Source organism: Homo sapiens, chromosome 13 (assembly GCF_000001405.40).
Source record: "Homo sapiens chromosome 13, GRCh38.p14 Primary Assembly".
Classification (NCBI taxonomy): Eukaryota; Metazoa; Chordata; class Mammalia; order Primates; family Hominidae; genus Homo; species Homo sapiens.
The window spans coordinates 97,105,336-97,118,928 of record NC_000013.11 but is presented as its reverse complement, the minus strand read 5'-3'; the positions used below and the strand labels follow the sequence as shown (position 1 = coordinate 97,118,928).

General features: G+C 45.4%; 1 annotated feature.

Annotated features, from left to right (window-relative positions):
* Positions 8,747–8,926: a silencer, noted in NCBI's record as "silent region_5449". NCBI's record gives its function as "represses an Ori minimal core promoter by ATAC-STARR-seq in GM12878 lymphoblastoid cells {active_cell/tissue: GM12878}" and the evidence as "EXISTENCE:reporter gene assay evidence [ECO:0000049][PMID:35858748]".

Here is a 13,593-nt window from a genome sequence, read left to right as displayed (position 1 = left end):
TAATTTGTCAATTAATAATTAAAAAGTAAAAATATTAAAAAAGAATTTAGGAAATCAGGAAGTTCAGGAATTGCAGGAAACTTTAATCAAGATCTCAGATGCCTGCAACAGCCCTATAGGTGATTTACAAAAGGACTCTTGGAAGTCATGGTCAAATCTCACGCAGGCCATCTGCAAAAGTCCCTAAACCTGACTGTTGCTGCCACAGGAACAATACTTCTGTCTCCTTCTCTTCTACCTCTGAATTTCACTTAAGATCTTCCTATTCACAGAATTGAAGGAGGCTTCTGGGAAATGTAGTTCCCAGGCTTCGAAGCCCCTGTGATCCAGAACACAGAAAGGGGGAAAGAGATAATCTGGCACAAGGCCTAAGTGAAAAACAATATCCCGAGTGGAGGTAAAGATGTGATACTAAAATAACTCCCAGAAATGGGTCAGATTGAAACAGGAATTTGGTAAGGCTGGGGCGTGGGATGAACACTGAGGAACAAAGTCCAGTAGATCCTGTGGAGGCAGCAGATGCTACGTAAGTGCTTGGAAGGACAGATTGAAGAGCAGGTGAGACCATGTTGGGTAAGACAAGCAAGATGGGGTGTATGGTGTGTGCAGTGCTACTACCTCCAAGAGCGACATGATCCACTTTATGTTCTAGAACTTTCATTAAAGCATGGGGTATAAATGAAAGGCATATAGCACAATTGTCTGGGAGGCAGGATTGCCAGTTAAAAGGAAGCTTCTATAGTCGTCCAGCCATTTAACTGATAGTTATTGAAAATGTCCTATGAATAAAACATTCTTCCAGACTAGGAAAAAATTAAAGTAGCCTGAATTAGAGCAATAGTATTGGAGCTAGAAAGAAAGAGAAATGTGAAAGGAAATTGAAAAAGAAGTTGATAGAACTTGACAACTGAATGGAGAGCAGGTAGAGAGGAGTCCAAATGGGACTCACTAACCTGTGGTCTGGGTAACCTTGAGTAACAACTGCTCATTGAGATGTGGAGCATGGAATACAACTTGAACTTGTGTGGTTCTGTTTTGGATAGGTTCTGTGTGAAGCCCGTTAGGATGTATAAATGGAGAAGTCCAGCAACAATGGAGATGTGGGGCAGATTGGTCTTCTGCATTCCTGACGGACCAACACAGCTGGCCACACATGCAAATGGAAGTAACAATGACCTACAGGTGTGATTCTGGAGGCGCTGATAAGGGCCATCCATCTAGAGAAGTTGTTTCCTCATTCTATGCCCTAAACCAGTTTGATGTCTGAAATCCAACTATTAGCACTTCACACTGTTAGCATAAAGTTAAAGCCTATTAAGCTTTTGCATGTGAGTACCTCCCTACAGCGTGGGAGACTGGAAAGGCCACTTAACTCACACTTAGCCTGAAGACAGTCCCAAACATTGATATGTCCCAGTTAACAACTGCTCTCAGAGTTAAGAACATGGCCTTGAATAACTGGGACAAGAAGAATCTTTGGATCCTACATAAAGCAGCGATGGGTCAGAGAGATATCAAGGGTTCATAGACTGGGAAAACCTTCCTGCAACTCTGTCTTCTGTCTTTCTTTATAGGCCCCCTTCCTGCTTTATAATTTTTACTTTATTTCTCTATTAATAACTTGATTGTTGAAGCCTCAGGAAATTCCAAGGCTATTTCTCCCATCAAAATGAAAGAAATGCATTAAATGGTGCATTCCCATTAAACTATGATTTACATTATATGTAATGTATATTACATATACATTAATATAGATTAATAAAAATGGAAGCACTCTGTTGGAGGGGAAATATACTAAAAAATCTTTTAGGGCTATCTGAATTAACATGAAATAATACCAAACACAGAGAGAGAAAACAAGAGAGAGAGAAAGGTATTGACTGAGAAAAAAAGCAGGACTGGAAACCTGCAGCCAGCTAAGTGGTGTGACTCATAGCTCTCAGTTTTTGGTAGACAGCTGAAGCCAGAGAACATTCAGAGCTGTAGACAAACACTTAAATTAGGTGTCCTGGTAGAGCAAGGGCTCCCACTGTAACTGCCTGTCCTGCAGTGCATATAAGGTCATCATTGTTATGTTGATTAATGAAGCTCCTGAGAACCCCTCCTGGCCGAAAACAATGGGTGTTACAAATGGTTCCAAGTAAATCCACAAGATTGTTCATTTCAACTATGCCAAAGAGTTCAACACAACAATCATGGGTCAAGAGCTATGTCATATACGCCACAGAATTCGGGATTGTTTCAAGTCATCAATGAGTGGAGGAAAATACCCTAAAGTGGTGATTCCTAGTGTTCTCCCTGGTTCTAGGAAAGTGTAGGGCCCAGAACCTTCCCCAATTTCCCAACCAGGCTGCTGTTGCATTTATGTACTTCACTTATTTATATGAACATTAAGACTTTTGTCCAAAAACAGATTGGAAACCACTGGCTGAAAGAATTGGCACACCTGACAGATGTTAGTTGGAAACAAGGTACAGGAAGAAAACACGAAAAAAGATGGACAGCCACGTTCCCGTGAAGAAGGGTTTACTTCAGTGGTGTGCTAGAGCCAGCTTGCACCAGCTCACAAGAACCAACTGGGCACATCTCCCCACAGTCCGGCATTCACTGACTCCAGTTTGGTAGTTTATTGTTGACCATGGTGGGAGTTTTTACACCATAGAAATTGTCAGATGTGGCCGGGCACGGTGGCTCACACTTGTAATCCCGGCACTTTGGGAGGCCAAGAAGGGCAGATCACCTGAGGTTGGAAGTTTGAGACCAGCCTGACCAACATGGAGAAACCCCATCTCTACAAAAAATACAAAATCAGCCAGGCGTGGTGGTGCATGCCTGTAATCCCAGCTATTCAGGAGGCTGAGGCAGGAGAATCACTTGAACCCAGGAGGCGGAGGTCGTCGTGAGCCGAGATTGTGCCATTGTACTCCAGCCTGGGCAACAAGAGAGAAACTCCATCAAAAAAAAGAAAAAGAAAAAGAGAGAGAGAGATAAAGACAGAAAGACAAAGAAAGAAAGAAAGAAAGAAAGAAAGAAAGAAAGAAAGAAAGAAAGAAAGAAAGAAAGAAAGAAAGAAACACAGACAGAAAGAAAGAAAGGAAAGAGAAATCGCCAGTTGCCACAAATCAGGGCTTTTCTTCTTTTGCTGCCCCCCCCTCAATACCCCTGACAGTCAGTTATAAAACATTTATCAGCATACCACTGGGACTGAATCCAAAAATAACTTGGCCAGCAAAACAGCCAAAGCCCTGTGAAGCTCTGACCAATGGCCTTCTAGGCACAGTCAAGTTAGGGATAGCGTGGAAGTTTGTAGAATCTGGAAAAGGGGAAGGAGTTCTTTTTGGGAAACACAGCTTTGTTATGCAGTCAGACAAGGCTATAGACAAGGGACCTACCAGTCAATATGCTAAGGAGGGTGTGGTAGGTACCACTCACATGGACAGGGAAACTTTTCTCATTTGATCAGGGAGTCCAAATAGACGAATAAGGTGGGTGAGTCGAGAAAGCTGGGATTCAGAAGGGCATATATACAGGGCACTCTGACAGCTAACCTCTGCTTCCTCCCAAGTCTAGACAAAAGCAAATCAGACTTCCACGAGGCATTCCTTAGACATCACAGAGCACTTTCCTTGAGCAAGGCTCAGCAGACCCTGGGTGGGGTAACTGAGGGAGGCAGCTGCAGTTCCTTCTGAGAGACGCTGGATGGATGCCGTCTGTCTCTGATGTCGGAGGCTCCTGCCTGGCCAGTGCAGATTGCGGAATCTCTTCTCTCCCTTCCTGGGTTCCAGGATTCCTCTGACAAGACATTTTATTAGCCCTAACGTGGCTTCCAGCAGGAAGGAAGAAGGGCAGAAACTGTTAAACACAAGAATAGGAAAGGTCCTGGAAAACTCATGGAAGGGGAAACTTGGTTCCGCTTTAAGGGAGAAGTTGTTTAAAGGAGTCTGGGGATAGCCCTGCCCTTGCCTGAAAAGGCCTCTTTGTAGGTCCCTCTGAGCCATGCATGTTTAAGATGTAGGGAAATCAGCTCAGAGGATCGACACACACAGCCCCCTGAAGCCATGGAGTGAGCTCCTCATTTTAAGCAGCTGCCTGGCAATTGTGTGTCATTGTCCTGGGGCAGTCGAGCATGAGAGTAGGGGTGACAGTGCTTGTTCATCTCAATCCTGCAACCCAAGTTCAAAGGGAATGTCTTCCCAAAGAAGGCTGAGTGTCTGCAGAGGGCGGCACACTCCGCTGATGGCTTAATCTGGAAGAGTAAATTTTGCTTCCACAAGAAAAATGGACTTATTTAGAAAAAGGTTAGGCGTACATGTGGGTAGCTTTAGGAGCCGATATTCCTAAGACTTAACAAGGGAGTAAGGCAGGGACCCTGACCCACCAGAACAGTTGCTGGCCTCAGATCTAGGGGCTGGGGTGGGGGTATTGCAGGCTCCTGGAGAACCCCATGCTGTGCCAGCCTTAACCCTTTGACAGTGGGTTGTGGGGACCCCCTAGGGTCCTGGGGTTGGAGTGAGGGTGGCCGGGCACTAAGAGGACACTGTGCGCTAGAGCAGCACCAATGCAGAGGGAAATGTCTCAGTATTTTAATGAGTCAACCCATACCTGTGGACATTCCCTGCCTACATGGACCAAGGGGAAAAACTTCCCACTCTGCCCCGTGCTTCAGTTCATAACCTTGCTAATCATGTATCTGACCTTGTGAGCTGAAGAACAGGAATCTGGATTTAAATTTCTCAAATACATGTTTGATTTCAAGTAGGTTCTTTATTTTCATCTCTCTCTTAACCTCTTCCATTTTTTGAAGAACACCCTTTGATGTCACTCCGATGACGTTTATTAATTATCTTCTCCAAACCTGCTACGACACAAGAAACTTTAGTCACAGTACTGATTCACACTCAATGTTCTATGTTTAGCAACTATCTGAGAAGGATCTGAGTCTGCATTTAGCCCTAAATAGCTACAAATAAGGGAGTAGCAGCAGCATCCCTTCAAAAGCCTTTTTTAGGAAGTGCTGTGCCAGGGGTGGGATGACATGCCAGGAGCTACAGGTGAGGAGAGCCGCTCTCAGCCAACAGGAAACCAAGGTAGCGGCTGATGAAAGCAACAGAGTTGTGTACTACAGAGCAGCATCCCCCCTTCCTCGAGACAGGTTGTAAGGAAACACTGCAGCATGTTTATCTGTCTGCCCAGCCCTATTTAGTGAAAAATGATTGCTCTTTGCCTCTTGTTACCATGCTCAGATGATACTATGGCAACCAGGCTGCACAAAAGGGGAAGGGGGGGCTGACGCTGCTTAGCAACTTGAAGATTTTTAAAAGGCAAGTACTCATTGCAACAGCAACAGTTTTTAAAATGCCAGTTTTCAGGAGAGAAAAGAGAAGAACATTAGAGAAAGCAAATGGAGATGACACAGTAGAGGAAAAGAAAGAAAGGAGAAAGAAAGAGAAAGAAAGAAAGAGAGAGAAAGAGAAAGAAAGAGCGAGAAAGAGAGAGAGAGGGAGGAAGGGAGGGAGGTGGGGAGGGAGAGAGAGAGAAAGAAAGAAAGAGAAAAGAAAAGAAAAGAAAGAGAGTCATCTGCATGTCACCTTTTCAAAGCTCTTTTTTGTACATCCTCACAGAACTCACGGGAGCTTGGCTGGGTCTCTGTTCACTGGTGGGGAAACTGAGGCTCACAGGGTGAGTGGCGTGCTCAGGGTTTGTCAGCGAGTCGGGGGCAAGTCTGGGACTAATATGCAGGCAGCCCAGTTCCAAATCCCACACTCTTTTTACAGCTTCATGCTTTGAAAAAAAAAGTAACCAGGAAATCTGAGGAAGGGAAAAAATAAAATCACACGAAACTGCCAATGGTGTGAAAAGGATGGGCATCTGTTTCAGGTAGAAACTCAGCAAAAAGCACAAAAATACATTTGAATGTATTTTCAGAATTAAGTTGAAACGACAAGGTGTTTTCTATGTGATTCATTCATTCATTCACTCATTCAGTCATTCAGGGCAAAAAAAAAGGTGGCACAGACAGTATTAAATTCCAGCATTCCTTGAATGAGCAGGAGGTTGCCTGTTTCTGGAACGTATAGGATCTGGAGGAATTCCTGGGCACTGGAAGGATTCAATGCTGAGGGGATGGAAGAAGAGAAGTGGAGAAAGGAGGGGAGGGGGAAAGTCTTGCCCTGGTTTAGGAAGAAACTGTCTTGAGTAGGATAAACATCCATCGAGATAAATGACCACATCATTTCAACCAAGACTATGTAAACCAAAGACGGTTCAGGTTCCAGTCTGCATTCCTCACTGGCTGATATTACATTTCTCAGCTCCTCTGCCACTCCAGCCTTCCACCCTTGGAAGCAAAATGCTAGATGGCTTACAAAACAGAGCTCGAACATGGAGCGACTACGGCGCTGAGCTTGTCTGGAGGGCCCAACAACAGGCAACGACAACACTAAGGAAACATCCTATGTCAGGCTAACGGGCGTTCTCTGAGGCAGAACTTGATAGAATGGGTTTCTGTAGATTGTGCCCTTTCTTTAATTAACTCAGTATTTAAGAGATGCCATTCAAGTCAGACCAAAGGTCTAAATCAGAACTGACCTTTCTGAAGCTGGCACAAGTTTTGTCTTTGTTTTGGGCTCTATGAAGGGTGAGGGGATGGAGGAGCCCAGGGGTGAGAATAAGCCAGTGGGTGGAGTTTCCCGCTGCTTAGCGGCTCCTTGAGGGGCCCATTCCATAGACATACACAGAGGGCCTCCTGCATGCCTCCCATGTGGGTCTCCTCACGCTCCTTCTCTCTGCCCCCCTGCACTGAAAGGACTCTGCAGGGCCCAGAACTTCAGGCTTCCTCATCTTGGTGCCTGCCTCCCGGGAGAAGCCACGGCTGCCTTCCTGATTGATAACACAGCGCTGACAAGACAAGTGCTGCTTTGGGTTCCAGTGGTCACAACCAAGCTATTCTTATGCTCCCCTCCTCATTGTTTCCACTCGTTCCTAATTGCACTTACGCAGAGGGCTCCAGAAGCAGTAAACAGACGGCCTTCTCCTATACTCACAATTAGCTAGAAGAATCCAGGTCAAGCTTTTCCAACCTGCAGCCCATGGGTGGCATGTGGCCCAGGACAGCTTTGAATGCAGCCCAACACAAATACTTAAACTTTCTTAAAACATTATGAGTTTGTTTTATTTTTTTAACATGTCAGCTATTGTTAGTGTTAGTGTATTTTATGTGTAGTTCAAAACAATTCTTCCTCTTCCAGTGTGGCCCAGGGAAGCCAAAAGATTGGACACCCCTGGTATGTGGTCTGTGATGCTCCCAACTAAGCAGATGTCATCTAGCATTAGTTTTAAGGCGTCAGGCCAGGTGTAGTGGCTCACACCTTGAGCCCAGGGGGGTTTCAAGGCTACAGTGAACTATGATGGCACCACTGCACTCCAGCCAGGACATCAGAGCAAGACCCTGTCTGTAAGGCGGGGGGAGCGGGGGAGCCAAACTAAGGGTGGGGCATTGTGGGGACTGCTCTTACTTCTAACACAATAACTATGAAATGAGTGAACTTCTGGGTTCTAGTCCTAATTGTGCCATCAGCTCTCGCATTCTTCACCTCCACCTCCATCCCCACTACATGCCCCAACCATACTGAATTTCATAAGAGCCCCAAATATACATCCCCACCTCCATTTGCACTGTCCCTCAATGTGTGAAGAGCCACTTACTACCTCACAGAGCAGAGCGCTCTATCTCTGACCCGGGCAGTTAATAATTACAACTTTCAAATTTCCTATCTTATTCGATGGGGAAAAGCCAACAGCAGTCACCCAGTGGGGGCTAGAGAACAACATTCCCATCTTAGGAGTCATAAGAATCAGAGAGAAGAAGTTTCGCCAAGTCCCTCCAGCTTCAACTCACCTGGCAACTAGTAACAAGCTAGTAAGGTTTAGGAGAAGGCCCGACTCCAAATCCCCTGTTCATTACAGGATTTGGAAATCTCGTTTTCTTGTGGCTTATGTTAATTAAACTTAAACCTATCTTTTAGAGCAAAACAAAACAAATACACTTACTCTTTCAAATATTGGCCTTCCAAATATTTGAATGGAGCTCCTGGGTGCCCTCCAGGGCTGCGCATCTCACACTTTAAAGTGTGTGGATAAGTCACCTGGGGGCTTGTGAAACTGCAGATTGGGATCCAGCAGTTCTGGGAGGGAGCGGGTGTAACAGACCCTGTCTACACTGCAGGAAACCCAGCCTCTACCTCCTCCCAAACCACTTTCAGAGGTCAAAAAAATTATGCAGTCTTTCGAATTAAATTGAAGACTTGCCACCTCCTTTTTATTTCATGTTCCCAGGCACTTACAAAAGTACCTGACTTACCTCAAGCACCGAATAAATCCTGTCGAATATGTCTGACAGAAGGAGGCAGAAACGGTCAAATTAAATACCTCCCCTTCCTCATCCCAGCCCCTTCCTTGGTTTAGAAAGGGCATCTGCTTCTGCCACGTCACTAAACTTATCTGAATATCGCCGTCATCATCTGTAAATTGGGAATAAAAATGACTCCTTTTGGGGCACTGGAGACATCAAACTGCGAGAAGACCATAAGCGTGGAAATGCTTAGCAAATGTCATGAGCGCCCCTCAAGTAAACCAGAACCAAACAAAGCAAAAACTAAAAAAAAATATGGACACATGGCAGTTGCCAAAACACTGTGTACTCACTTAAGTGAGGCAGGAAAAATGCTTCTACCGAAAAGAACACGGTGCAGGAAGAGCTCATTAGGCCTTCCCGAAGGGAACGCAGTAGCTTGCTGCTCGCCCGCAGGGCCGTGGGACCGCGCCGGGCGTCCTTTGCCGCCCTCTGCTGGACGGAACCCCCCACCCGCGCCCGCGTGTCTGGTCACAGCGCGCCGGCAGCGCCCAGGGGACCTGCGTCCTCAGCCAGCCGGTTATGTAACACCAGACTGCATCCAGAGCAGGCTTGCGAAGAGGAAATCACTGAGTTCATGACGCATCGATTCAAGCTGATAAGAGGAGGGGAGGGCAAGAAAATATTGTGTCTTTCCAACGTTCGAGGTGCTAATGAATTTAATCTGCAGAGGAGCCCTAAAAAGCAAGGAGGGTCATTCTTGTTTTGTGGCGGAGCAAAGTGAGGCTCAGGGGGGACTGGATAAATTACCGAGGGGAACATGGCTTACTGAGTGGCCCGACCAGGTTTTGAATTAGGGCCATTTTGATTACAGATACCAGGTTTCTATACCTGAGTCTGCCGTTAATTAGCTATGGGAGCGGGACCCACCCACTTAGCCGTGTGGGGTCCTGGTGTTCTTTGTTTGCGGAGAGAGGGGTTGATGGAGGTGACCCTGAAGGTTCATTTCAGCTCTCACATTCTGAGCCAAGCCTTTTTTTTTTTTTTTCATGTGCCGTTGTTGTGTAGAAATAAATTGTTGGATAATCCCCCCGCCCACCCCCGGCGGTGGAACCACACATTTCTCATCAAGCAAGACAGCACCAAGCATGCCAGGGGCCCTGCCAAAGGCTACCTGGCTTCCATCCTCTCCAAAATGATCTACAGGCTTAGAGCTGTGGTCTCTGAACAAACTTTCATGTTTTAAAGATCCTACCATGGGTGAAATATATCAAAGGGTCAGCCTTGCCTGCCCAAGATACGTCATTTATGTTGCAGAGAAAGGAATATTACAAATTAAGCATGTTTATCCTATGCTCATCAGGGTCCAGGAGAGAGAGATGCACATTTGTACATTCTCCAGGGTGAGTCCCTGAGGTTCCACTTAATGAGCTGGTGGGGTCATTTATCCCTTATTAAGCAGACTAACTCTCAATCTGAACCTTCCCTCAAAAAGTTTTAGTTTGATTCCTCTCTGATATAAAGAGAGTGGACACTTTAGTCTTGTCTAGTCTGGATACTGACTTACAACATGCTTCTGCTTCATTGGAAACTTCAGCTCAGGAAATACTTTAAGGTTCCCCCTCTCCACCTCTTGTGGGGCTATGAAGCATCTCTCCCTCTCAATTTAACTGGAAATTTCAAAGTTTAAAAATGCACACACTGGAAAGCACCGTAGACATTATATGATATAATTCTCTTATTTTATGGCTGTCAATCAGGGCTATTTGTTCACTAAGGACATTTCTCTAGAAACAATAAAAAGATGACTGAGCATCTTCTCCCAGACTTTGGATGGTACCTTACATGCATTGGCAGGAAGCCACAAAGAAAGCTGAGTCAGCGCAGAATCAGGGCAGCCAACAGAAAGTTAGGATTCAGCCTGTTTATCACATTCGCCAGCTAAAAAAAGTCAGGTCTAGGGCCAAAAATACATGAGCCCCTTTCCCAGAGCTCTTCCCCTAGAAAAATATCACACCTTGAGAGCTACTCTGGTCTCATGGAAACACCATACCTCGCATTACCTAAGAAGGCCCAAGCGACGTCCATCTCTAAAAAGATGATAAAATACCCATCAAGCCTCCTTAGTCAGAGGCAGCCACGTTGCAGCCAGAGACCGAATCTGGCAGGGTTTCCAGACTTATAGTACACGCCAAGCATAATTTAATGTGAGTATGATAAACAGTGATGGATCACTGACAGTCTGCGATGCTGTCAGGGCAAGGGTTCCCCACCATTCTGATATTGCAGCAAGATACCAGGAGGCCAGCTCCATCCCCCGAATGCTGTCATGCTAGCCCAGAGAAAACTCCTATTCCTATTCACTTCAAAATAATAACAATAATAATCATTTCTCTTTATTTTTGGTCCCCTTCACCATTTTCTCTGTTAACTTAGAACCTCTGTGGTTTGACTTTTATATCATACCATCCAGAGAAGAAACTATGTAAGAATCAAGTTGGGCCAACAGGCAGTGTTTCTTCTTCAGCTGAGGAATGTGCAGCCCCCGAGGGCTTGGGCAGGAGAGGACAGGAGGGATTGTCACGAAGTCCCAGGATGAACTTGGCCCATGTTCCAGGAGCACTTTTTTTTTTTTTTTTTTTCTGATACAGAGTTTCCCTCTTGTCACCCAGACTGGAGTGCAATGGCACAAGCTAAGCTCACTGCAACCTCTGCCTCCCAGGTTCAAGCGATCCTCCCGCCTCAGTCTCCCAAGTAGCTGGAATTACAGGCGCCCGCCACCATGCCCAGCTAGTTTTTGTATTTTTAGTAGAGATGGGGTTTCACCATGTTGGCCAAGCTGGTCTCGAACCCCTGACCTCAGGTGATCCACCTGCCTTGGCATCCCAAAGTGCTGGGATTACAGGCGTGAGCCACTGCACCTGGCCCCAGGAGCACATTTATAACTCACAGCTTTTGGGGGGTGAGGAAGGGAGAGATGACACAGAAATATTATGAAGTAGCAAGTAAATTTTGCATGGGTTTTTAGGATGAAACACAATATTCTAAAATGTTGTTTAATTTTTTTAACATTTCCTTTACATTTTAAACAAAATTTCTTGTTTGTACCTGGTTGCTTCAAGCTTTGGCCTCTAACCTCTTGGGGGCCCACATATGGAAAATATAAGATTAGATATTATGATAGTTAATATTGAGTGTTAACTTGACTGAAGGATGCAAAGTAGTGTTCCCGAGTGTGTCTGTGAGGGCGTTGCCAAAGGAGATTAACATTTGAGTCACTGGACTGGGAAAGGCAGACCCATCCTCAACCTAGGTGGGCACCATCTAATCAGCTTCCAGCAAGGCTAGAATATAAGCTGGCAGAAGAACGTGGGAAGACTAGACTGGCTTAGTTTTCTGGCCTACATCTTTCTCTCGTGCTGGATACTTCTTGCCCTCGAACATCGAACTCCAAGTTCTTCAGCTTTGGGGCTGAAACTGGCTTCCTTGCTCCTCAGCTTGCAGATGGCCTACTGTGGGACCTCACCTTGTGACGGTGTGAGTCAATACTCCCTGATAAATTCCCCTTTATATATACAGCTATCCTATTAGTTCTGTCCCTCTAGAGAACCCTAATACAGATATTTAATCCTACCTATTTTTTTGCCTTGGAAAGATAGTTACTACTACTACCACTTCTACTTCTACTACTAATTACTATTCTTACCACAATTACCACTACAAATTCTACCACTAAATTTCCTGTTAAATTGTCTGAGAGTCATACTACTACTACTACTATGTGCTCCCTTTCTCTCCTGTTTTAAAAATCGGAAAAGACCCCAGTCTCCAGAGAGACAGGACCACTGCTAGGTTCTGCAGAGCCTGAAAATACAGTGCTTTCCTTGACTTCCCGCCTAAAGAAATATCTATTTAAGAAGTACTAATGGCTAAAAATAGTAAGAAATAATAACAACACAGAGTATTTGCTGACATGGTGGCCATCAGTGTTCTCAAGCTTGTGCAAACTCACCCCAGATGCCCCACGCTAACATTCACAGGACATGCTGGGGCACATAGACGAGGCTGTACGTGGCCAGTGGCCTTGGCATGGGGGTCCAGCTACCCCAGGCATCTCCTTTCTTCAATAAGGAATTCAGTAAGTATTTGTTGAATGAATGAATCATGTTCTTTTCCAGTTAAAAGCAGACTGAGAGCATCGAATCTATTGGAAACACCAGCAAGTGCCATCACCGGACCCAGAGGAGAAAGTAGCAGACCCCTGTGTCATGAGTGTCACATTCTGACCTCTATAGATAAAGGCTCCTTCATTTATAGAGGTCTGAATCCAGGCTTCTCCCCTCTTCTCCTCCGGCACCACCCTAGGAACTGAAGGGACCAACACCACACATGTGACCTATCTGTGGCACTCCAGGGGTGATTCGGTTTGGCTCTGTGTCCCCATCCAAATCTCATCTCGAACCTGTAATCCCCACAAGTCCAGGGATGGGCCTGGTGGGAGGTGATCGGATCATGGAGGCAGTTTCCCCCATGCTGTTCTCATGATGGTGAGTGAGTTCTCATGAGCTCTGATGGTTTTATGAAGGGTTCTTCCCACTTCACTCACCGCTCTCTCTTTCCTGCCGCCATGTGAAGAAGGTGCTTACTTCCCCTTCACCTTCCACCATGATGGTAAGTTTCCTGAGGCCTCCCTGCCACACATAACTGTGAGTCAATTAAACCTCTTTCCTTTGTAAATTATACAGCCTTGGGCAGTTCTTTATAGCCATGTGAAAACAAACTAATACAAGGATTAAGATTTAATTTAGCCTATTTATGGCAATAAACCATTTGGACAGTTTTTCATTTATGAAAACAGAAAACTTCTCTTTGGTCTAATTAGTCCCAGATGTGAAGGAGTGTTTATTTATGGAGGTCTGAATGTGACACTCATGACACAGGGGTCTGCTATTTTCTCCTCTGGGTTCTGTGAGGGCACTTGCTGGTCTTTCCAATAGATTTGATGCCCTCATTCTGTTTTAACTGGAAAAGAACATCGTTCAGTCATTCAACAAATAGTTACTGAATTCCTACCAGGTGGTATGCACTCTGCTAGGCACTGAGGATATAACGATGAACAACCACCGTCAGGTTCCCGCCCACCATGGAACTTTCCATCTAGGAAGGAAGGCAGATAAACCAGCAAATGCAATGCAGCTCAACCAAGTGAAATAGAGCCTGATGCATGGCACCCAAGAGCAGAT